The 25,946-nt window shown below is 37.8% G+C and overlaps 2 long non-coding RNA genes across 2 annotated transcripts in view, besides 1 other annotated feature; both read right to left on the reverse strand.

The window, feature by feature from the left end:
• Positions 1-4,418: 4,418 nt before the first annotated feature.
• Positions 4,419-6,213, reverse strand: LOC105369298 (uncharacterized). The gene is made up of 3 exons (XR_929517.2): positions 6,137-6,213; positions 5,748-5,812; positions 4,419-4,593 (listed from the first exon to the last, which is right to left on the reverse strand). It is a non-coding gene; the product is annotated as an uncharacterized LOC105369298 (long non-coding RNA).
• Positions 17,966-19,075: an enhancer, noted in NCBI's record as "VISTA enhancer hs309". NCBI's record gives its function as "enhancer in: cranial nerve[5/9]" and the evidence as "EXISTENCE:transgenic organism evidence [ECO:0001131][PMID:17130149]".
• Positions 22,370-25,946, reverse strand: part of LOC101929563 (uncharacterized) — a 171,709-nt gene continuing 168,132 nt past the window's right edge. The window contains exon 28 of the long non-coding RNA NR_121602.1: positions 22,370-23,073. This is a non-coding gene — a long non-coding RNA (uncharacterized LOC101929563). The remainder of the gene's footprint in view (positions 23,074-25,946) is intronic.

Consider the following 25,946-nt stretch of genomic DNA (forward strand, 5'->3'; position numbering starts at 1 on the left):
TTTTTTGTTTTGTTTTTTTGTTTGTTTGTGTGTTTTGAGATGGAGTTTCACTCTTGTTGCCCAGGCTGGAGTGCAATGGCACGATCTCAGCTCAACACAACCTCTGCCTCCCAGGTTCAAGCGATTCTACTGCCTCAGCCTCCCGAGTAGCTGGGATTACAGGCATGCGCCACCATGCCTGGCTAATTTTGTATTTTTAATAGTGACGGGGTTTCTCCCTGTTGGTCAGGCTGGTCTCGAACTCCCGACCTCAGTATAAACTTTTGTTTAGGTGAACAAGAAGAAAACCCCATTTTAGGGGGCAAGAAAGAGCATCTGTAAATGCTAAGAGTGTAAAAAGGGTGTTGATGTGAGGACACTGCAAGTATGTAGCTGGAGCATTGTGGCTGTTAAGGCAATGGAAGGAGGCGAATCTCAGGTCTATAACTGGAAGCAAAGAGGTCCACAAGAAGGTTGTTGCAGGCCCTCATTAAAGCAATTTTCATGGGCAGGTTTTTGAGCTCTCATTTGGTAAATAAAAGCATCATCCACTGTTTCCCTTTTTGCCTTGAATGTCAAGAAAGTCAAAGTCATATTTAATCCTCAACCACAGAAATTGTATTAGCCCTTTGAATCAGTATATTTTTATTCACCTCCATTTCATAGAGTGTTCATTTTCCATTGCAGCTATAACAAGTTACCACCTATTTAGCAGCTAAATACGACATAAATTTATTCCCTTGCAGTTTCCATGTGTCAAAAGTCAAACACAAGTCTCAATGGGCTAAAATTGAGGTGTCTGCAGAACTGTGTTCCTTACTGGAGGCTTTAGGGAATAACCTGCTTCCAAGTTCATTCAGGTTGTTTGCAGCATTCAATTCCATGCTTTTGTAGAAGTGAGGTCCCAGTGGCCGGGCGCTGTGGCTCACGCCTGTAATCCCAGCACTTTGGGAGGCCGAGGTCGGCGGATCACAAGGTCAGGATATCGAGACCATCCTGGCTAACACGGTGAAACCCCGTCTCTACTAAAAATATTAAAAAAAAATTAGCCGGGCGTGGTTGCGAGCGTCTCTAGTCCCAGCTACTCGGGAGACTGAGGCAGGAGAATGGCGTGAACCCGGAAGGCGGAGCTTGCAGTGAGCCGAGATCGCGCCACGGCACTCCAGCCTGGGCGACAGAGCGAGACTCCGTCTCAAAAAAAAAAAAAAAAAAAAAAAAAAAAAAAAAGTGAGGTCCCAGTTTCTTTGCTAGCTGTCAGTAAGCGGTCCTTCTCACTTCCAAAATCTACCTGCATTCCTTGACTTATGTTCCCCTTCCTCCATCTTCAAAGCCATCAACAGTGGTTTAGGTCCTTCTCAAGCTTTGAGTATCTCTGACCTCTTCTGCTTTTTTTCTCATTCTGCCATATCTCTCTGTTGGACTCTTCTACTTTCCTCTTCTGTTTCCAGGGATCACATGATTACATTCAGCCCACCTGAAAAATCCTGAATATATTCCCTATTTCAGGTCAGCTGATCAGAAACCTTAATTCCATCTTCAAAGTCCTGTCACAACAATACCTAAATTAATATTTAATCAAATAGCCAAGTGATGGGACACTTAGAGGGACATCATTAGAAGTTTACCTGCCAAATATGATTTAAAAAATTTTTCTATTTCCCTTTTAATAGTTTTATTGACATGACTTCATATAAGGCACTGTAAGTCCGTATAGGACTTGTATTCTTCTTCTTTACTATGTTTACTGTTTGGGACATAAAAGTAAAATATTCTCAATGTAGAAAATTTGGAAAATAAAAAATGTATAAAACATTATAACCAATTATAATTTCATCACTTGTACATAGCCACTATTATTAGTATTTATATCTTTTCTTTTAGTCATTCTTTTTTGCACATTTTTATAAAAGTGAAAGTTCAAAGTGTATGCAGTATTCTATTGCACCTCTTAAATCACTGTCAAGTTGAGAGCCATTTCTGGCATTTAGTGTTTACATAATGGCCACATAACGTTATGGTGAATGAATATATTTTACTCTATTTTAGGTGTATATGGGATATTACCAGTTTTTCATTATGAATAACATTGTGTTACCCATTTTTAAACATAAATCTTTGCTGGCATTTTAGATTTCTTTCCGGATATATACTTACTTAGGTGTAGAATTGAGTATTATGTTTATCTGAAAGTATTCCTTACATTCTAAAATAGGCTTGAAAATGGGCTTTTAAAATATGAACTCAGAGTAAGCAGCCGACTATGACTACATGTGACATTGCAAATATTAAAAAATATTTCTGTAAAGTCTCTTCTCATATTACAGCAGCAATTTCTGAATATATTTGTGGCCTACTGTAATAAACCTCAATTTACACAAATTGCAAAAGGTGTGGTAGTATTGATTGCTGTACACCAAATATCTTCTATTCTCTTTACAGGCATATCTTACGATCGCACTTCTCCATTCCCTTGGAATTTGATGGGTCATACAACTTGTTTGCATAAGTGGACATATGTGTGTAACTTATGAGTGAGGATTAAGAGCAGTATATGACTAGCCATACATCTCTTTCTCTCAGCCATAAAGACCGACAATGTTCCAGACTGCAGCTACTCTACTAGCTTAGGTTCTGCAGGTAGGAGAAGGCAGAGAAGCCTCCCCATGACAGACACAATGTGAGTAAGGAACAAACCTTTCTTCTTTAAGCCAGCAAGATTTGAGGATTATTTGTATTCATCCATCTTGAGTAGACTGAATAAGGGCTCCTAACTAATAGAAATTAGTACACAGAAGTGGGCTTCTACCATAACAAAAATGTGGCATTCATTAAAAGCCGTGGTGAGAAAATTGTCCATGGAGCTGGAAGAATGTTGATGCATGTTGTACAGTGGCAGACTGTTTGGAAAGATTGTCATATGCAATAACTTGGAGTGAATATCAAATACCTAACAAATTGGGAGAACTGGTGGAGTAAGTTGGAAAAAAATGTTACTAACATGTATTGGCTACTGGCTCTATCTGACAAGGTACTGTAGTAGAGATAAGATGAAGAAAGAACTAGCTGGCTTGCAAACTAGATTAAACAGAAAATAGAAAGTTCACAAATTCAGGGACTGGTAAATTTTTAGAAGAAATGACTACTTCTTATACTTAAACAGTAAAATACAGAGAAATATTTTTGAGTAGTAAAGTCTGATTAAAATTCAGCCTTGCAGCTAATATTAAATTAAGGATTATCAGTTTCCTATAGCTATTGTAAGAAATTACTAAAAACCTGTTGGCGTAAGACAATGCAAATTTACTCATAGCTCTGATGGGCATAAGTCTTAAATGGGCCTCTCTGGGCTAAAATCAAGATGTTGACAGAGATGTGTTCTTTTCTGGAGGCTGTAAGGGAGAATCCATTTTCTTGCCTTTTCGAGTCCTACAGGCTGCCCAATATTCACTGGCTAGTGGCCCCTTTCCACCTTCAAAGCCAGACGTAACTGGTTGAATCATTCTCCTATTGTATCCCCCTGACGCTGATTCTCTTTCTATCTCCTGCTTCTGCTTTTAAGAACCCTTGTGGTTACGTTGAGCCCACCTGGATAATTCAGGATACCCTCCCTATTTTAAGGTCAGCAATTCCATCTGCAACCTTAATTCTTCTTGACCACATAATATAACATATTCGCAGGTCTGGGGATTAGATGGTAGACATTTTGCGGGGACTGTTATTCTGCCTGCCACAGAGTGATACCTAGAATATCTTTTAAACTGGGCAAAATTGTTTTGGGAAAAGACATTAGAAGTGTGGTTCTGGACACCTGATAGGCACAAGATACCCACAATGCAATCAAGAGAGTAAGGGAAAGGGACAGAAGCATGGGAGTGAGGAAGGAAAGACGCTTAGCAAATATGACTGTTATATCTAAAAAGAAACTGTCACGAGTTTTGGTACATGAAGCTGACTGAAATCAAAGAGAAAAATTCAGGGAAGTTTTTGAGAGAATTATATTGCCAAAAGAATCAGCTTGAACTAAAAGAGAATGTGACAGTTCAGGACTTAAAATAACACTGAGGCTTCAACCATCATTGGATAGGATGTAGGCTAAGGAGGCTGCCTGTTCCCTAAGGGAGGTATATTCCCTGACACCCACTTCAAATGTAGTCAAAGAGGATCATGGAAAGGAAGACTCTCCCAGAGGACAGAGACAAGGACCATAGATTCTAGGAGCTAAGGAGACCCTTCTACTCCAGGGCCATCTCAGGAGAAGAGTCCTTGAAGCATTTGCCCAGTAAGACCTGAGAGTTGCAATGACCCATTGCAGTGATTGTAGTACACCTTCAATTTGTACACTTTCTAAACAAGAGTATTTACTGAGATGATCTTGGCCTGATTTCGCCACTGCATATTGGCTAGGTAGATGGGTGGGTAGGGAGGTTAGTAACTTGCCTTTTTTAGTTACAGGTCTCTGGGTCATCAGGGGCCATAGCTGGATCTGATGCAAATATTTCACATCATCCCTAGATATTAGCTTACCAAGGATCCTGGACTGTGTGCTTGATGCTATGATTGGAAGGTGTTTGAGATTGTCTCCTTCGAGGAAACAGGAGAGGGAGTGTGTCTTACCTAGAGAAAGCAGAGAGGAACAAATAGTTGGTAGCCACAAGGGCACATTGTAATCAGCATTGGTGCTACTCACTAATATCTGTTCTTTTTTCCTTCTACCCATGTAAAAAAACTGAACTTCTTAGCCCTTTCTTTGTTGTGTCGGGGAATAGTAGTTCTGACCATTGGACCATCATTTCCAGAACACTTAATTCTTAATGGTGTAAGATGCTCCTTAATTACTGAATTCTAATTCTTAATTAAGTACTTAATTTCTAATTAACGCTTAATTCTAATTCTTAATGGTGCAGAATATTCCTGAGTTCTCCCTTCTCCCTGTTGAGGTGATCCGAGAAGCATGTGTAAAGATGGAGCTTCCATCAACTTTCTGGAGCTTCCCTACCAACCCACTCTGGGCATATAGTATGAGGTATAAGTACACTTTTGTTACAACTAGGGAGTTATTCATTACTGTAGCATAAATCAACTTACCCTAACTGATACAGAACACAATGACCTTTCATTTATTACTTTGTAAAACTTTTATTCTGAGGTTTAAGTGTAAGATCCTGTAAGAGGTTTTAATAGGAATTCATGTACATGCCTTCTAATTATACAAAACACTTTCAGGAATACACTTATTGCAGAAAGTAAGCTATAGCTGCTTGTTACCTTCTTCATGTATATAAATTTCAATAAATTTAAATAAATATTTAAAGATGAGAAAGAGGTGAATTTGTAAGAAAGTCAGATTTATTATACCTGGGGCAACTCCACCTTTCATTGCATCCATCAGTCAAGGATTTATAACATGGATTATTGGCTCTATTTAATTGTTAAACAGAAGTTGAAGCCTTGGATCTGTCAACTAAGCAGTTTTTGAAGGTTGGGATTGAAAGGACACATGGAAACCCACCCCATCAAGCAACCCTAGGGTTGGGTCACAAGGGGTAAGACTTATTTGCGTTATGTACATAGAGAACCAAAGGGTAAGTGTCAAAGTACCAAAAGTCACAGAAACAATATTTATTAACCAAGCCAACATGATAAGAACAAAGTCAAAAGATACAAAAAAGTTATAAAATTTAGGTAAATGCACAACTTCAGCTAAAAAAAAAATGTCAAGCAAGTGTAGCAACAAGATGAAAAGGTACAGAATTTTACTACAAACACACCTGAGACAACTGTACCGCTCTATCATTGGATGCTATGCTGATCCAGAAGTTAAACACACAGGCTGCTGCAGGTTAAATACACAGGTTTCAGACAGATAGTATTCAGGCTTGGGATGTCATCGAAATAACTAGGCCATGTTTCTGATATAACTGATAAATTTCTACAGTGATTGTTTTAGGTTCCTTTTTTTTTTTTTTTTTTTGAGACAGGGTCTCACTCTGCCACCCAGGCTGCAGTGCTGTGGTGTGATCACAGTGCTCACTGCAGCTTCAACCTCTTGAGCTTAAGTGATCCTCCCAACTCAGCCTCACAAGTAACTGGGACCACAGGTGCGCCACCACACCCAGCATTTTTTTTTTTTTCCTGTAGAGCCAAGGTCTCACTCTACCTTTCATTGCATCTATCAGCCAAGGATTTATATGTTGCCCAAGCTAGTCTGGAACTCTTGGGCTCAAGCGATTCTCCTACCTAGGTCTCCCAAAGTTGTGGAATTTTAGGCATGAGCCACCATGCCCAGTTGTCTCAGATTCTTAATATCATGACAACCTCTATGACTTCATAAGAACATACTGGTTTTCATTTAAATAGAAAAGTTGATCACAGAAAAAATTGAAAGGAGAGTTAAAGGATTACTATAAAGAAGAAAATAGGGGGAGGAGGCAGAGGAGAAAGAGGAGCAGAAAAGGGAGACGTAAGAAGAGATGGGAAAGTAAATGAGTGGTTAACAAAATAAATAAATAAAAAGATAAGTTTCGCTGACTTTGGAAAGTCTGAGGACCAAAATAGGAATGCTACTGAGGGAGCCAGGGGAAAGGACCCAAATAAAAGCTGAAGCAACCGGAAATGTAAAAAAGAATGCAGATTTATTGGTGATGCAGGCAGTTAGACCTGGCCTGAGAATAAAATCACTGTAGATAGTTACACTGGAGTATCCAGAGCCGAGAGAGAGCTCAGTAGGAAACATCTGATGGCTGTGCCAGTGCTCAGCTTAACTTTGGCTCCTATTTTTTCATAGCTGAGAGAATCTCTGGGTGCCCCTGGGCAACCAGGCACCCCTTCCTACAGATGGAAAAAGGTTTATTACATTTCAGACCAAAAGCAACCAAAGTGTTCTGCAGAAAATGAAAAAGAAAATGCTTAATCATTTCTAAAGGTGCCAAATCAATTTCTCCTTGAGAAAGTGCAAACCAGTGTAAAATTTTTAAAATAAAAACAATTTATCTCGTGTTTTTTTCCAGGTAAAAATGTAAAATAACGCCTTGCTTTCTGATCAACAGTTTGCCTCATCACCAAAGAGTACAGCAATCTTAGAAATGTACCTGAGGATTTATTCCAAAGCTGGTATAAAACATTTCATTCCAAACCTATATCATTTGAACAAAAATTCATTAGGGTTTATAAATTGAAGAGATGCAAACACAAAGTTGGCATTCCTTTAACATTTTCAAAGATAATAAAAGTATATAGTGACTGCTTTCACCCAAGTAAGCCTGTCAAAATGTTGGCAATATTGCTTTCGGCTGTTTTCTGGCAGCATATCTCATTTGAAATATTTTCCTGAGTTAATTTTTTCTATTTAATAAAAGGCTAAACATGAAGACATGTTCTTGGGTCTATAAAGAATGCATTAAACCTCTCCTGATGACTTAAAATATCTTCAAAACAGTGGCCATGGTTTGTCATAATTGCATTCTCACTTGTCTATGTTCATTTTTACTTCATTTGGTTTGTAGAGTGAAATGAGAACTGGATTCAAAGGTGTGCCAATGATGTTGTCTGGGAACTAGATTCATCTCCATAAGCCTCACTCCTTCATCTGCAAAAGAGGTATAACAATACCAATTACACCCCCTTCACTGGGTTGTTTAGGGAAAAATGACTACTGCAAACTAAAGTCCTTTGAACAGAGAAAAGCATAATGGAGATTTAAGACATGTACTATTAGTGGTGTTACTATGATTTCTCTTTTCTAATATAGTTTATGTCAACAGGGCTCCAATGCAAGGGTTTGTGAAAGATCTACTGCATATTCAAGCAGGTTTTTGTGCAGCTGGAAAGCCTATGAAGCAGACACCACAGGAGGCCTTACAGCAGTCCAGAGAACTAAGACCTATAAGACACTAAGAAACTCAATTACCCCCAACCATTGAGGCAAGAGAGTGGTGATGAGCAAGCAATTAGGTGGCAATCATTAGAGGTAAACTAGGGAAAGTTGATCTAATCCTTTCTCAGTGCTCCTCAGACTTCAGTGTGCTACACATCACCTGAGAATCTCATGAAAATACAAATTCTGATTCAGTAGGTCTGGGGCAGAGCCTGAGAGTTTGCATTTCTAATAAGTAGTATAGAAATAATATAGTATCTAATAATCAGACAATATGTACACTAATGACCCATGACCTATATTTCAAATGACAAAGATCTATTTCAGACCAGCCTCAAAGGAAATCTGTGTCAGGGCTCTAAGGATGAAATTGGAAACCTAAAATGACTACATTCATCTTAAGAACCTGGGAGCACAATTCAGGGCTGCATTTCTCTAACATGTCAGAGTTGGTAGGGCAGTTCCCACGATGGCACACAGGCACAGGGGATTCTGGAGAAGAAAGGGCTCACATTGCAAATTCTGAGGTGGGTGATGTCAAGACAGATGACCACAAGTAACCACTGCTTGGGTTGGCAGGGGAAAGGATGGCTTCCACTCAGTGGTTGAAGCAGGGGGTTGTCATGGACAATCAAGAGCAAATGAGAATTCCCAGTGATACCCTGAGGACCACCATGAAGAGGCTTAGGCTGAGGCTGCAGAGATACTGCAAAAGGGCATTGAATCAGAAGGTTTGTTGCTGTTATCATAAGCCTGGTGTACCCAAGCTGGTGCCATTTGGAGAAATGCCGGTTATGTCATTATCTACATTTTATTATACAATCATCATTAGTATCAGCATCCTCAGTATAACAGGATGATATCCCTGATATGACCACTGGAAACAAAGCCACTCAACTCTCTTGGGCAGTGATGCTCCTTTGGTGTTTCCTTCATATAGATAAACCCAGAGAGTCTAATGGAACACAATTTTTTTTTATACAACAATCTTGCATACATAGAAAAACTAATATCTGGCAAGTAGAATTTTCAGAGGAATTAATCTAATTTAAGAGATATTAACATTCTCATATCAATAAATAGTTAAGAGAAAGGTAATTTGCAAAGAATTCAAATGACCAAAAAAACAAAATATTAAGCTATGAGAAGTCATCGGCATTGGCGTTTTTCCAGAGCTTCCCATGTGCTTCAGCTTCCCAAATGGTATCTGCTGTCCTAAAGAACTATGATCTCTTCTCTGTTCCCTCATAAACCATACACTACATCCAAGTGGTTTTCTACCAAGGTGTCTCATGTTGCTAAATCAGTATAAAATATAGGACATAGAGCTATAGTCTGTGCACAGAATATTATGTATAAATTTCCAGCTACCATATTTATATAGATACTCCAGCATGAGAGTAAATGTTACTGATAAGTCTGTCCTACACATGAGCATTATTTATTTTGTTTGTTATTGACTTGTCTCTACCTCACACTGTGCTAGTCACTAGAGTTGCAATCATGGACAATAAGAAATATGCCTGTCATTATGAGGATTACAATACAGTGGGGCAGGGGACATAAATAATAGTAAAACATTAGTTGCTGTGATGGGGGAAAAAAAAAAAAAAACAAGGAGCTAAGCTAGCAGCAGGGAGGACCTACTTCAGATAGAGTGATCAGAGAAGTCCACTCTGAGGTTATAGTGGTGCTGGAAGACAAGCCTAGTGAAGGAGAACAAGGAGAGTTTTTCTAGAAAAGAGAAGCTGTTTGTAAAAGCCTGAGGCAGGAAAGAAATTGGCATGTTCAAAAAATCAGCAAGAAGCCAACCTGTTTAGAGCTACCAAAAAGTATAAGCCAAGTTCTTCGCAGTTGAGGATAAATTGGTTTGTTTCTCAACTTAATGAACACTAATTCATCACCTATACATCAAATACTCTATTTGAACAAGACAACTCTCTGTGAAGCTTATGTTCAAATGAGGGAGATACACTCTCCTGATGTGTTATCATAGAAGCACTGGAAGCCATTGGAATACATAGGTAGTTGGGGGCAGGGGTGCTTTTTAGAATATTTTTTTAAACATCATTATTTTCATAATATAAAATTTTCTTTTTTCAACTTTTAAGTTCAGTTTTAACTTTTATTTTAAGAAATATGTGCTGGTTTCTTATATAGGTATACTCGTGTTATGGGGGTTTGTTGTACAGATTATTTTATCACCCACGTATTAAGGCTAGTACCCCTTAGTCATTTTTTCCTGATCCTCTCCATCCTCTCACCCTCCAGTAGGCCCCAGTGTCTGTAGTTCTCCTTTGTGTATCCATGTGTTCTCATCTTTTTGCTCTGACTTATAAGTGAGAACATGAAGTATTTGGTTTTCTGTTCCTGCTAAGGATAGTGGCCTCCAGCTCCATCCACGTTCCTGCAGAAGACATAATCCCTCATTTTTTGGGGTGGCTGTATAGTATTCCATTTTCTTGTAGGAAACAATCAGTTACATTAACTTAAAAAATATTTACATTGAAATATTAGATATTTCAAATTATTCAAAAAGTTGAAATACATGTTCCTTACTTCCAATATTTCTATTCCAACTGGCAATATGTATGAAAAGTTCAAGGAAAGGCAAGTTGTATTGACTGATTCTTGAATTTTTGCTCAGCATGAGACCTAGGAATGTCAGCCATTCTTTCTGGATTTCTCTTTTCAGGACTAACCCATTCATTGAGCAGGTTACTACACTTTATGTGGAAATATCCTGTCTGCATCAACAGATTATAAATTTCTTGAGGGCGAAGATTTGGTATTCTTACCTTCAAATGACTCAAAACAATATTTTGGATAAATTAGAATCCATATAAATTGGTTCATTCAGATTCATAAAGTATTTCAAAATATCTCCAGGGTCCTTATATATCCCAATGTGTGATTAATTTGAAATAACTTTCACTACTTCCTTTTCAAGTGAGGGTTTTGGATCCTGGCTGTCTTTTAGAAAGAATGTGACCTCCTTACCAGACACTTTCCCCTCATTCTTTGTAGAAACGAAAACTAAACAGGGAAGCTTCCTCTGTCAGGAAATCTGATGCTAAATCACTCTTTCTTCCATCACCAATGAACTCAATCATCTCATGCCAATACAATTAAATTAAGGCTCTTCAGCACCACTTGGCACATAGATTATATGATTCCTGTTAAAAAACAAATCCAAACATAGAGAATCTTTTGGAGAAAATCTATTTTGAGAAGGTATTTTTATTGTTAATAATTTTATCAAAAAAATTTACCTTTGTAGCTGAAGTTTTTTAAGGAATCTGAGCCCCGGGATAATTTTTGTTTTCCTCTGAACTTTGGCCAGAGTAACTTATACGTACATGAAGGCAGGAATTTTTCCTAATATTACTAAGAAGCATGAACACTCGGTTTGGACATTGACTGGCCTGAATATGATAAATAATATATTTCCTCTTTCAAACTTCTACATGTACCAAATATTATAACTTTTTGCTCAAACAATTGCATCTTAAAATTTCCATGTAGTCACAGCCAAACTCCTTAGAAGGTTAAAATGTATTACATAGTAGAATCAATTTACTTTTTAAAAGGAAGAACTGCACATACCAACTGGTAATGGTAATATTAACTAATTGCTTTTATAGGACACCAGACTAAGTGAACGACCTTAGGCAGATATTTAAGCATTTTGCCACTACCCATTTAAATTTTGCCATGATCGATTTAGGTCGTCCACTTCAAAATTCCAAGTACTATTTCTCAAGATAATGTATATAAAATATTTACAGCTTGGCTTTTAGAGACTTCTACAGTTTTCTGTCAATACCATAATCACCATAGAAACTATGAGTGTGGGAAATTAAAGGGCTGTGTGGTGGCCATCCTTTGAGTTTGCAAAGCCTGCTCTTGTGCTTGGGGCAAGCAAGCCTAATTTGTCAACTGAGGCAACATGGTTGCAGTCTCAGGTCAGTGATCGTGCTCCAATTGGAGCAGCAATCACTCTGAAACTATCCTAGCTCAGCAACTAGCTCACATTCCAAAAAGAACTGCAGTATTAGCACCTGAGCTCCAGCCCTGGAGTTATCAGCAAAAACGCTGTGGCTCCCCCGTCATTCTTTCCATAAATATTCATTGGGCATCTACTATGTGTCATCAGGGACTGTACCAAGTATGGTAGAATACATAGATTAAAACTGATGATCCCATCTCTTAAGAAGCATGCATTCTTGGATGGGCGTAGTGGCTCAAGCCTGAAATCCAAGCACTTTGGGAGGGCAAGGTCGGCGGATCACGAGGTCAGGAGTTGGAGACCAGCCTGGCCAACATGGTGAAACCCCGTCTCTACTAAAAATACAGAAATAAGCCTGGCGTGGTGGCGTGTGCCTGTGATCCCAGCTACTCAGGAGGCTGAGGAAGGAGAATTGCTAGAAGCCAGGAGGCGGAAGTTGCAGTGAGCCGAGATTGGGCCATTGCACTCCAGCCTGGGTGACAGAGTGAGACCTCTGTCTCAAAAAACAAACAAACAAACAAACAAAAACAAACAAAAAAACAAAAACAAACCAAAAAAAGCCAGCCAACCAACCCACCAACCAAAAAAAGGCCTATTAATTTGTTTTATTAATTCAAGAAATATTTATTAAACACCTGTTATTTACCAGACATGATTATAGACCCTGAAAATACAGCAGTGAATAAGACTGTCAAAGCCCCTATATCATGGAGTTTACTTGTTAATCAAGAGTTAGACACAGACAGTAAACACATAAATGAACAAGATAATTTTGGATATATACAAGTATCATGAGGAGTATAAGAAAGTGTGATGTGTTGGCAAATGTGGATGGAGTTACCACTTCAGACAGGATGAGAAGACATCTCTAAATAGGTGATAACTGAGCTGACACCCAATGACAAATAAAGGAGGAGACAAGCAATCTAAAATCCTAGGGAAACACATTCTAAAGAGCAAAGAAATTTGGGTGTGTTTGAGGAAACAGAAAGGAGAGTGTTGTTAGACCAAAGGAGTGACCAAGAAAGTATAAAAAGGTAATGACAGAGACTGGTCAGAGGCCATGCAGTGTATTTCTTATGGGTTATGGCAAAGTGTTCAGATCATATCCAAAGAGTAAGCCACTGGAGGGCTGGAACTAGAGTGCCAGTGAAGGGTCATACTTTTTGAAGAAAACTACTGAATAGTGTGCAGGTGCTATTTATTATTGAGGTAGGCAAATGGTGGGATGAAGGATAGTGATAAGGAATAAAGGAAGGATGAGAGAGAGAAATAGGAACATTTTCACAAAGGAATTACTCAAACTCATGCTTGAAGAAGTTAAACCTTCCCGGGTGGACAAAAGAGGGCAGAATGAAAGAAGACAGCATGTCAAGTGGGGGAAACAGCATACACAGTGGAATGAATGTGTAAAATAACATGGCATGTTCTGGGAACCAACAGTCGGAGTTAAGAATCAATGGTGGCTTGATGAGGTTTGCATGTCAGGCAGAGTTTAGATTGCAGGTGAGGGGGGACCCCTGATTATAGGGTTTTCATGATGCCCCTCTTTCTTGCCTTGTCTGCTTGTCCCCTAATTTCCTGAGATAGCTATAGGTAGTTTGAAAATATATGTATTTCAATACCTCATGCTAATCCCCTATATACTTTATCTGTTATATAAATCTTCAGATTAGCACCACTTTTGCACCAGATTGGAACCAGCTGCTTCTGTATTTATTTTCACCATTAGAATGTAAGTTCCTTGAAGTTAGAAACAATGACATTTAAATTCTGCACCCTAATATCTGACACAGCATTAGACACATAATATGAACTCAGCAAATATTAAATTTTAATAGGAATCAGATAGATAAATAGATGGTTGAAATTTCATAAAATATTTGAATTAGTCTCCAGGGCTGAAATCAGAATGTTAGCACTAGAGCATTTTCTATACCATGGAATATATACTATTAAGATGAGGTAGGTAGTAGTTGTTTCTCTGATATTATAGTAAGAGTTTCTGATGGCTTTTAAGTTCACAGGCTCAGGATTAATAGCTCACCCCCATCCAGTCTTGTGATACTGCCTACATGTAAAGCTTCCTCACTAGTCTGACCAGTCTCAATGTTGGTTTCCTCTAGCCTGATCATCAGCTCCCTCTAGAGGAAAGCCTGGAATTAGTACTTAGCCTCACTCATCTTCCTTTAGCCTATTTCCATCGATTTACAGAGCCTGAACCCAGCCAACTGTGGCAACCACCTAATGACTGATTTGATTCCATGTGCAATCTTTCGGGAGTGCCAAATTCTCAATCTCTAACACATAAGTATGTTACACACATATTACTATCCATCTCTCTGAGTGTCCTCCTTCTAAATGATGCAGTTATCATGTAAAGGCTGCAGATTACCCAGATATGAGAAAGAGAAAGAGTAAGAAGCAGACACAGACAAGGACGGAGGAAAAGAGTGAGGATTAGATGGATAGAAGGAAGAACAACGGAAAAATTTTTTCAAAAGTTTCCTTGTTCAGAAGATATATTTATGTTCTTATTTGGAAAACAATGCATGTGACTCAGTATTACATAATCCGTATGTGGCAAAGTTCCCAGATCAAGGGCCTGAAGAATATATCTATAGCAAATTTTGGCCACACCTGGATGCACCAGAAGGGCAGCAAAGATGACACAATGAACCTCAGAGAAGACACAATATTTGAAGAGGTGGACAACTGTCCCTGAGGTTCAGACTCCAAATGAGTAAACAGTAATAGCTATCCTTTGTCTCAGGATGGAACTGGATGGAGGAGTTCCACATAGGGAAAGAAACACAGTCTGAGGGGAAAGACAGGTTGCACCCATTTGTGGAATATTAGTTGAAGGTTGAAAGGAAGAAGAGATTTTGTGTGCCACCCTGAACAGTATTTAATGATCTTTCTGCCCAGCTCCCAGGGACATATGATGGGTTCTCAAGGAATTAAAAAGGGAATGAGATGGAAAAACTATACATATGTGAAATTTAGAAATATGAGAGGTCAAAGCAATTCTGGTTTTAGCTTCATAGCCTGGCTTAACATAGAAGAAAGATATGACTGCTTCATCAGGTAAAAAGGACGCAAGATTAAGAGAAGCATTCAGGAGGTGGTCAACAAACATTGATTTCCTCCCCCTGTTCCCTTCCACATTGCCGTCTGGAGGCTAGAGTCAACACACACACACACACACGCACACACACACACTCTCATCCTGACATTAGCAAGTATTGCACATTTGACGTCATGGATGCAAACCTCCCAGTGGTGACCTCTTTTTAATTCCTCTCCCGAGTAAAGTTTCTATTGATCAACTAAATGTATGAATGAAGGAGTGAATAACTGAACAATTTAGTGAAATTCTATTTAGTATTCAGATCTATACTTGATACTGCAAGACACCTCCTGATATTATTTAATCCTTATTGCAACAATGTATAAATTGTTATACTCATTTAGAAATTAGAGAACTGAAGCTTATGCAAGTGACCTGCTTAGGATCACAACATAGAAACTAAGATTTGAGATTTAAACACAGATAATTTTAATTTAAATTCATTTCCTTTTCTAACAAAGCTTCAACCTATAGGTGATTTCACATAGTCACAGTATCAATCTTAGTCATTAAAATACACATTTCGTTGCAAGAAGTGTCAGGCACTGTTGAATAGCTAGCCTAAGACTCATTTTCAAACACCTAAATACTCACTGTTTCAGATTCTCTTGAAGCTAGGGAAGGCCAGCCGTCTTGAGTTCTGGTCAATGATTTGTAAGTGGAAGTTTGTTGATGGATATGGAAAACTCTGCTTTTTGAAAGAAGGAACATACATCTCTAACATTCCACCTCCCCTCTACATCCTGCCTGACTATGAAAATGATGCTTAGAGCAGCAACAATCATCTTGTGACCATTAGGAAAAAGTAAAAAAAAAGAAAAAAAGCTGCAGAGATGCTGCTTCTTACCTCATTGAATAACTACCTATATCCAGACTCCTTGCTGCATGAGAAAAACAAACTTCTATTTGTCTAAGGAATTTTAAGGTATTCTGTTAATTACAGGTAAAACAGCAACTAATACAGAAAAATGTCTAAAACACCATCTCTAAAGTACACATATTAGTGAGATTTTAAAAATTAAATTGTATTATAATGAATATATATCCTTACTTTAAAAAGCGTATTTCCAAAGTCATAATTTTCTGCTCTAAAAAAAGATCAAATGTCATCCATATTTAGTTGATTCTAAACTCATGAATATGAATGACAAAAGAAAATCTTTACAAAATTTGAATTATTAAGATAAATACAGTTACTGCAATTTTTCTAAACGGCATCTAGCACATGGCTGATGCTCAATAAAGGCTGAGTGTTAAAAACTATGTATCTTATTAGCAACACATCTCAGTACTATCATTTGGAAAAAGTCCTTTCTCTCACAAATCAATATCACAAAGAATCAGGCAGCAGGTGGAGGATGTAAAAATGAATCATTTTTCAATAACTTCTTTCAGCGTGGAAGGTTTCACATGTCTAGACATATTTTGCTGTTGAATTCCACACTGATATTTAAGGGATTGTTTTTCCCCATTGCATACAAAATTACTCTAAATATAGTAAAGCATTTTGCTCACATGCTGTCAACCCCAGGCAAAACGTAGAGTCCATCTGTGTCCTTCCCTATAGTTCCAGCCAGTATATCCCGCATCACACATCAGTCATCAGGTACAGGTTGAGCAAGAAGACGTTTCTCTCCAGTTTGATGATGAACAGAGTGAGTTCTTTTATTTTTAGAATTGACTAGAAACATTACAGTTTTCCCACATGGCATTCATTAAAAGTTTAACCTATCACTTAGTAATAAAAATGTGAAGAATAACAAGTAACAAAACTTTGACTCAAAAAATTAATTTTTTTTGTGAGACAAGAATGTGAAGGGATTTGGTGTTTTTGTGATGTTTATACCATTCTCAGATAATCAGCTGTCAATGTCTTGCAGACTTATACCATGTCTTATTTGAGTAATTTTCAGAAAAATAAGCCCAGTGGGATAAGAAAGCCCAAATGCATACTCATATCAGGGATGCACCTGCATCTGAAAGGAGAAAAGGAAACAAATTAAAAAGAGGACTAGAAGATTTACTTGGCCTGAATGATGAGAGTCACCTGGGTAGAACCAATAATAATTGTTCACATCAAATGATTTCTGAAAATGATTTTAAGGATGTTTTACATAGCTAATGAGTTGTTCCCCAGTATACAAGTTCACCATTCTGATATATGTGGAAAGATAATCTTCATTAACAAAATGGAAAAATTAAATTTTAAAGTTTCTAACAGGTCACAACATTGCTATTGAATATACCGACTTCCAGCACCACTGCACTTGTTCTCCATTACATTTCACTTAACGTACTCTTGATCCATTACTTGCAGTTATTTCAGATAAGGATGGAACTCTATTGTGGGTTGTTTGTAGGTGAAAAGGCAGTCTTCACTTTCCCATGATGCCTAAAAAGAATAGGCAATTGGATGCATTGACTTGTCCAAGTATGATGAGAGTCTCTGCTCCCCCGTAACCAAATTATTGCTAACCCTCTTTTCAGACAATGTATTTCCAAAAATTCCGTTGGCCAACAGTATAGCTGTTTCATCTGTGCAGCCCCACTTACATGCAGGCTAGTCCATAGTGGCTTTCCTGGAGAAAACGATACTTTTATGTAATAATGGAAAGGGTTCTGGATATGTCATACGTCGTGGGTTTAAATCCTAGCTCTGCAATTTACCAGATGTGTGAATACAGGGAACGTGCAAAGCTTCCTTGAACCTTAGTCCCCTATTTACAAAACTGGGGACATGATACTTATCTCACAGGACTGTTAAATGTTGAATGAAATGGTTTGTTTGAAAGTGCCTGGCTTATAGTAGGTCCAAAATAAATCTTCACTAAACCTGAACTGTTTAGCTTTCCAGTAATACGAAAAAAATATATATCAGGAACCCAGTAACTTCCTAGTGTCCAGAGGCTTAAATGTACCACACATAGAATACAGATTGTTTATGTTTATATGTGCATTGTTATAAGAAAACAAATGCCACATACCCACCTAACAGGATGAAATGATTGACAGGTAACATTGACCTTCTTCCAGGAAATCACAGATTTTCAAAACAAGCACTTTTTAAAATTACAAAAATATGCAGCATGAATCAGAAAAGCAGGAGGCTGTGTTTGTTTGATCAACATTTCATTTTCCATAGCTTCCATCTTCGTTTTATTGCATGGTGTGCTATTTCCCTCAATAGAAAAGGAAGGCTACTGGGATGTTTGTTATAATCGTCTGCTTAAGGTTCTTTGGCAGATCACATGTTTTACTTAATTAAATAATGTCCCAATTAATTGATTTGTTTGTAGACATTCTTAATTTAGTAAAGGCTGAGCAGAATGCTAAAAATACCATTATATTTCTGACAGAGGCACCACTAAAGTCTGATAATTGATAGCTTTGCTGTTTTCTCTGATGGCCTGAAAGGCTTTTAAAGCTAAATTCTGTAATCATGTTCATCTTTGGAAATTAGTTTTGTGAAACCACACATTTAGTTCTTGCTGAGAAATCTCATTTTAGTCATTTTAACATAATTTATAATGCATAAACTAAATTAGCTTTTGTAGCTAAGCCAGCACATTTTTCTTTAATTTTTATCTCATCCTAATATATTTTTGACCTTGAAAACTGTAATGTCTGTTGGATATTGAAGCCTCTGAACAAAGAAAATCATTTCCATTCCATCACTATGGTTACACTTTCTTCGCTCTCCAGCACTGAACACTGCTGAAAGTGTTGAATCTGGATTCCTCAGGAGGGCAAGGGGAACTTCATGTAATATCATTTAGTTCTGATTAAATAAACACATATACATAATGGAACCCAGGAAAGTAGCAAATTACTTCACTTTGTTTACATTGCATATGATCTGACTGATGGTAAGGGGCAATATATCACCCAATGTTATACATTTCAGGTTCTGCTGTGTGTGGTTTATCCCTAGGCAGTCACACATACATATTCGTCTCCAAAAACACAGTCAAAATGCCAGGCAGCTCCTAACACCTCCAATACTCCTGAAGTCAAAGCGGTTTTATCCCCTTCTAACAACAGAGAACTTCTAGTGCAAATCATACAGTTCCCTGTCTGCCAGAGATGTGTTTCAAATGAGCTTGCAACGTGTCTCTCTCCATCCTAAAATGGGTTGTGGCTGCCTATAAAAGCAAGAGAAGAACCTGGTCATTCAAACGAATGCTATACCTGCTGCCTCTGATAGAAAAATACCCTTTTTTACAGACGGCAGCATTTGTTAAAACGTGTCTTGAATTTCTTTTATTACACAGCTGGTCTACAATGTTAACTACAATAGGTTTGCTGTTTTGTTCTTTGCCTTAGTAGCTTATGTATCAAAGCCATCTCCAAGAAAATCGTTGGTAACTAGTTGGTATCATTAAGGGTCAATACTGTTTTTAAAAGTACAATGTATCCAATCAGTATTATGGCATATTAAATCCATATAAACTCAAATGGAATGTCTCCTTCCCATGGTCGATATTCACAGATTTCCAGCTACATGGGTTGGCTTGTGCAAAAGTAATGCAGAGCTATTCATTTCAGCAGCATATGATAAAAAACTGGAGTGAGAGAGGAAACAGCTAGAGCCCAGGTAGGAAAGAAATCTGCGTCTTGAATAGCTTTCAGGTACATGGACCACAATAATCATCTCTGTGGCCTGGCACAGAAAATACACAATAAATATTTGTGGCATGGAAGAATAGGTGGGTATTTGAAAGGGCTCACTTTTTTTTCAGATGTAAAGATCTTTTGGTGGTGGAAAAGAACACACTGATACTCAGACAGATAAAAGGCAGAACTCCAGCTCCAAGTAAAAAAGGGCTGCCAGCCAGGGTCACACAGGGGGTGGCATCCAGGAAGAGGGTAGCAGCAAGCTGGAGCTGGAGGGAGCAGCCTGTGTATGGCAAATGGGATTGAGCTAGCTAGGTGTCCTGGACTCGCTGCAGATTAGCTAATTTGAATAATTCTGTGGGCTCCAAGGCATGAGGGCTAGTTGTCCACCCCTGGGTAATAGTGGTCCCAGAGTGAAAGAGCCTGATAAGAGAAGTGATCGGAGTATAGACTTAATCAGCAACTGAAAACGGGAAATTGATCCACATCTAGCCAGGGCCTCAGAACTGGATCAATACAGCATTTTTTTTTTTTTTTAGACGGAGTATTGCTCTGTCGCCCAGGCTGGAGTACAGTGGCACGATTTCAGTTCACTGCAAGCTCCACCTCCCGGGTTCACACCCATTCTCCTGCCTCAGCCTCCCGAGTAGCTGGGACTACAGGCACCCGCCACCATGCCCGGCTGATTTTTTGTATTTTTAGTAGAGACGGGGTTTCACCTTGTTACCCAGGATGGTCTCAATCTCCTGACCTCGTGATCCACCCGCCTCGGCCTCCCAGAGTGCTGGGATTACAGGCGTGAGTCACCGCGCCTGGCCAAGACAGCATTTTTTAAAACTCTGTTACATTCATCTACCTACAGAAATAAAGAATGTGGTTAAAATGCAGCAAAGCATTACATGACATTCAGTAGCAACCAAAATGTCATTGAAGTGTGACATGGAGTATGTAACAAAAGCTAACCTGGCTGCTATCGTTTGGATATGGTTTATCCCTACCAAAACGCATGTTGAAATTTGATTCCTTATGTGGAGGTTTTGGGAGGTGGGACCTAGTGGGGTGTTTGGGTTCCGGGAGCGGAACACTCATGAATAGGTTAATGCCCTCCTGTGAGTGAATAAATTAGTTCTTACCAGAGTGGGTTGTTAAAAAGAGTCTGAATTCCTGGGTTTCTCTCTCTCTTGCTTCCTCCATTTCCATGTGATCGTTTTGCACATACCTGCTTTCCTTCGGCTTTCAGCCATGAGTGGAAACAGCATGAGGCCCTCACTGGAAACTAAGCAGATACAAGCACCAGGCTTCTTGAACTTCCTGGCCTATAGAACCATGAGCTAAATAAACCTCATTTCTTTATAAATAACCCAGCCTCAGGTATTCTGTTACAGCAACACAAAATGAACTAAAACATTGGCCCTGACTTGAACTAACGATGCAGATAATTATAAAATAATTTATTAGAAGTCTTTTGGGGGGGATAATCAAGTTTTCATAATTTAGTTTTGATATGTAAAACACTAAAGAGAGGCAACTCCCAAACATTTTCTATATTTTTGTTAGCCTCCAATGTTTTCCACTATGTGCCAGGAACAATTCTGCATATGGGTTGGAGTCTGTATTTTTTAAGCAAATGTAACTGGGACTGCCCAAGTTTAGTAGGCACTACCATCATATAATTCATCATGCTGCATTGGAGGCAGAAACCAAAGGCTAGCTGTGGTAGGCAGAATAATAGTCCCTGAAAGAGGTCCTCAAACTAATCCCTTGATTTGTGACTACATTATGTTACATAGTAAGGAGAATTAAGGTTTCAAATGGAATTAAGCTGGCTAATCAACTGGTCTTAAAATAGGGAGATTATCTAGGTAGCCCCATTATAATCACAAGGGTCCTCAAAAGTAGAAGGAGACAGAGAGGAAGTCAGAGTGATGAGATGTAAGAAGGACTAGATAAACTATTGCTAGCTTTGACGACGGAGGAAGTATACCATGAGCCAAGGAGTGTGGGCAGCCTGTACATGACAGAAAAGGCAAAAGAATGGGTTCTCCCCTAATGCTGTGGCCTGAGAAGTTGGGCTGTATTCCTTTCAAGAGAAAGGAATACAGCCCAACTGACACCTCAGTTTTAGCCCCATGAGACCCATGTTAGACTTCTGACCTTTACAACTGTAAATTTGTGGTGTCTTAAGCTATTATATTTATGGTAATTTGTTGCAGCAGCAAATAGGTAACTAATAACCATCTAAACTCCCAAAGCATAAAACCACTACTTCTATTTTTTTCCCATATTTCCTTTACACAAAATTTTGTTTACTAAGAAGACAAGCTCTCAATGACTTTTCCAGAGACAACTGACTTTTGCTTTTGCTGAGGTATTTGAATGTTTCATATACAACCCATGACAACTTCATACTGAAAGCATTTTCTGTCAATGGACCGTCCTTCATTCTCAAATATTAATTTTTTGAATACTTGTATTTAAAAATAAATACTAATCTACTTTGATTTTGTAGAAGGCAACCCTAGAATATAAGAAAATTGCTTCTCAGGCCACAGTATTGACTTTGAGGACTTCAATACTACTGCCAAATAATATTTGAAGAAGATAACCATACCCTCTGTTCCTTAAAGTAATCATTATTTTTACTTTCTTTACCCATATTCATTCTTGTACACTCAAAAAACACAGCTCCAACTAATCCCTTTAGTTAGAAGTAGAGGATACCAGAATTTACGACGTCTTTTGAATGAAACACACAGAACAGAAGTGGTTTCAAGGTCAGGTTTAAGGGGTATAAAGGTACATGACAGTAGCTAGAAAACGCAAGGTGGCTGAGTTGTCATAGCACGAATCCTTCATGAGCAGGCATTATTCTAATCTGGTTATCAAGTTTATGGGTAAATATCAAGAGGTGAATAATCTAGAGAGCAGTTCTCTGAATGGAGAGTGAGAAAAAAACTGAATGTCAATCCTAGCTTCTCTCCTGAGTAACAGAGGGTAGTTTTCATGTAGCCTCCCCTCTGTTTTTGTGTGACCTTCCTCTGTTTCTACAGCTAAATCAAAATGCTTCTGTATCTTGCAGGGACACCCTCATCCCTTTACTTTCCAGTTGTTGCCCTTAATGGAGTTTTGATTCTTTGATCTGTCTCCTCTGCTTTTTTCCTTTCTGAGTTCAGAAAGCTTGAGTATCTGATTTTCCTCTTTTGCTTTCTTATCCCTCCAATCTGGTCTTTAAATGTCAGTTTTAGTCAAGGGTCTTTCCATTTTTACACTAAGCCTGTCTTTTTTCCTTTTTTTCTTGAGAGGAAAGTTTCTTTTCAAATCCACTTTGTTACTGTTGTTTATTTTTGTTATTGTTCTCTTTAGTAACAAAACTTTGTATCTCACAGGAAGTAGTGATGACATCTCTAGAGGCAAATTTTACTTTTTTCAGCATCTATTCACTGAACACCAACTTTATTCCATGGTAAACTTCAGGGAGAAAAGAATAAAAGATGAGTGAGACAATCTACCCTAAAATAATTCACCAACTAGAAAATTTTTTAAAATAACTATATTATAGAAAATAAATAAATGTGATGACCATTTCCTAAAGGTCCTGACATATGGTACTATGTGATGGTTTTCTTCTCCTTTCTCATTATCATCCCTGAGCACTCAAAATAGCGGACCTCAGTCCAAATTCCCCCAGCTGGAGTACAACCAAACAGAAGTGTAAATGTTCAGGCACCCATCCCATCAGTGACCCACAAATCCCTGAACTAAAAATACTTCATAAGAAAGAAGAGCAAGGAGTACTGAAACATGATAAGTAATCTCCTCTCAAAACCATTCTCAGTACTCACTCTCACAATGACAAAGCCCCCTTTGAAGATACTCAAAACTCTGCCCAGGAAAAAAAAATGCAATGTATCCATTCTCTTAATGATGGTCATTTGGATTGTTTCCATTTGGGGCTATTATTAATAGAGCTGCTGCGAATATTTGTATAAAAAAATCTCTTTTTGGGGATATGTTTTCCTTTATCTTGGGTAAATATGTAGGAATGAAATTATTTGGTTTTAAGTTATTCTTATGCTTTAATTTATAAGAAACTAGCAGTTTTCAAATTGTTTATACCATTTTGTACTCTTACCAGCTATATATAAAAATTCTAGTTGCTTTACATCCTGGCCAACATTTAGTGCTGTCAGACTTTTTAAATTTAAGCCATTCTAGAAGTGGATATCTTATTTTTATATTAATTTGTATTTCTCTGATGACTAATAAGATTGTGCAACATTTCAAGTGCTTATCGGTTATTTCTATATCTTCCTTTTGAAGTGTCTGATTTGCCTATTTATTATTGAGATGTCTTTTTATTATTGAATTGAAGGTATTCCTTATATACTTTGCATACAAGTCCTTTGTTATATATGTATGTATGATGAATATTTTCTTTTATGTTTGCCTATCCATTTTCTTAACAGACACTTTCAGTGAGCTGAAGGTTTTAATTTTGAATAACAGATTATTGTGTTTTTTCTTTTAAGGTCATTGTTCTCCAAGAACACTGTACCAGCCTCAGGATTATGAAGATATTCTCTTACCAGATTATTCTAGAAACTACACACTTTTAGCTTTTGTATCAGATTCATGACCCATCTTGAAATTATTTTTAAATGATGAGTGATACATAGACTGAGTTGTTTTGATTTGTTTTGTTTTGTTTTTCTCACTGTGAATACCAGTGTTCCAGCTTCATTTCTTGAAAATAATTTATTTTCTCCCATTGAATGGCATTGGCTTTTTTGTCAAAAATCGCTTGACTATATGTATTAGTCCATTCTCACATTGCTATAAGGAACTACCTGAGACTGGGTCGTTTATAAAGAAAAGAGGTTTAATTGATTCAATTTCAACAGGCTGTACAGGAGGCATGGCTGGGGAGGCCTTAGGAAACTTACAATCATGGCAGAAGGCAAAGGGGAAGCAAGCACGTCATCACTGGCCAGCAGGAGATAGAGAGAGCAAAGGGGAAGGGCTACACATTTTCAAACAACCAGAGCTCATCAGTACTCACTATCACAAGAAGAGCAAAGGGGAAATCCAGTCACCTGATCCAATCACCTCCCACCAGGTCCCTCCCCAAACATTGGGGATTAGAATTAAACATGAGATTTGGGTGGAGACACAGAGCCAAACCATATCACTATATGTAAGTATTGATCTACTTCTGGGCACTCTATTCTGTTCCTTTGATCATAATAGATCTAGCATTAGGTCAATATCAAACTATCTTGAATACTGTAACTTCACAATATATTTTGAAATCAGGTAGTGTATATTCTTTGTCTTTTCTCTTCAAGATTATTTTGACTATTCCTGGTCCTCTGCATTAACAAATAATTTCAGAATCTGCTTGTCAAGGAGAAACAGCCTCTTGGAATTTTGAGATTACACTGAAAATCTGGAGACACATTTGGGGAAAACTGACATTTTAACATAATTAATCTTGAATATGGTATATTTCTTCACTTATGAAGATCTTTAATTTTATCCAGCAAGATTTTTAAATTTTCTGTGAGTTTTTGCACATCTTATTTTATTTCTAATTTTTAATGTCTTTAATTTTTTTTCAATATGATTAGCAAATTATGTGCTTCTGTTACATAGAAAGGCACTTGATGTTTGTATGTGGACCCTGTATTTGGTGGTCTTGCTAAATTAATGTGTTGGTTGTAGGGTTATTTTGTGTAGATCCCATAGAATTTCTATGTACACATTCATATTGCCATTTTTCTGATTGTGTGGTTGATTTGCCTTATGCTAGCCATGACCTTCAGCACAACATTGAATAGAAGCAGTAGGAACAGGCTTCCTTGCCGTGTTCCCAATATCATGGGGAAAACCAGCAGTACTTCAACATTAAATATTTTAGCTGTACATTTCATCAGACTAAGGAAGCTCCCTACTATTTCTACTTTGCTGAGAGGTTTTTAAAAATAACTATTGAATTTTATCTTTTTCTGCATTTTTATTTTAACTTTTTCTGTGGCATACTACTTTGATTTTCGAATAATGAAATAATATTGCATTCATTTGTAAAATAAATCCCACTTTGTCGTGATGTACTATCCAATTATACATTTTTAAATTCAATTCCTAATATTTTGTCAAGATTTCTGCACCTATGTTTATGAAAGATATTAGAGTATGACATCAAGGTTATGTTCGCTTTATAAAGTTTAGTAGCATTTCCAACTCCTTTTTCTGAACAAGTTTATGTAAAGCTAGAAATATTTGTTTTTTAATGTAAGACAAAATTTTCCAGATAAGCAACCTAGCTCTGGAATTACGGGTAT

This window comes from Homo sapiens, chromosome 9 (assembly GCF_000001405.40).
Source record: "Homo sapiens chromosome 9, GRCh38.p14 Primary Assembly".
NCBI classification, from domain to species: Eukaryota; Metazoa; Chordata; class Mammalia; order Primates; family Hominidae; genus Homo; species Homo sapiens.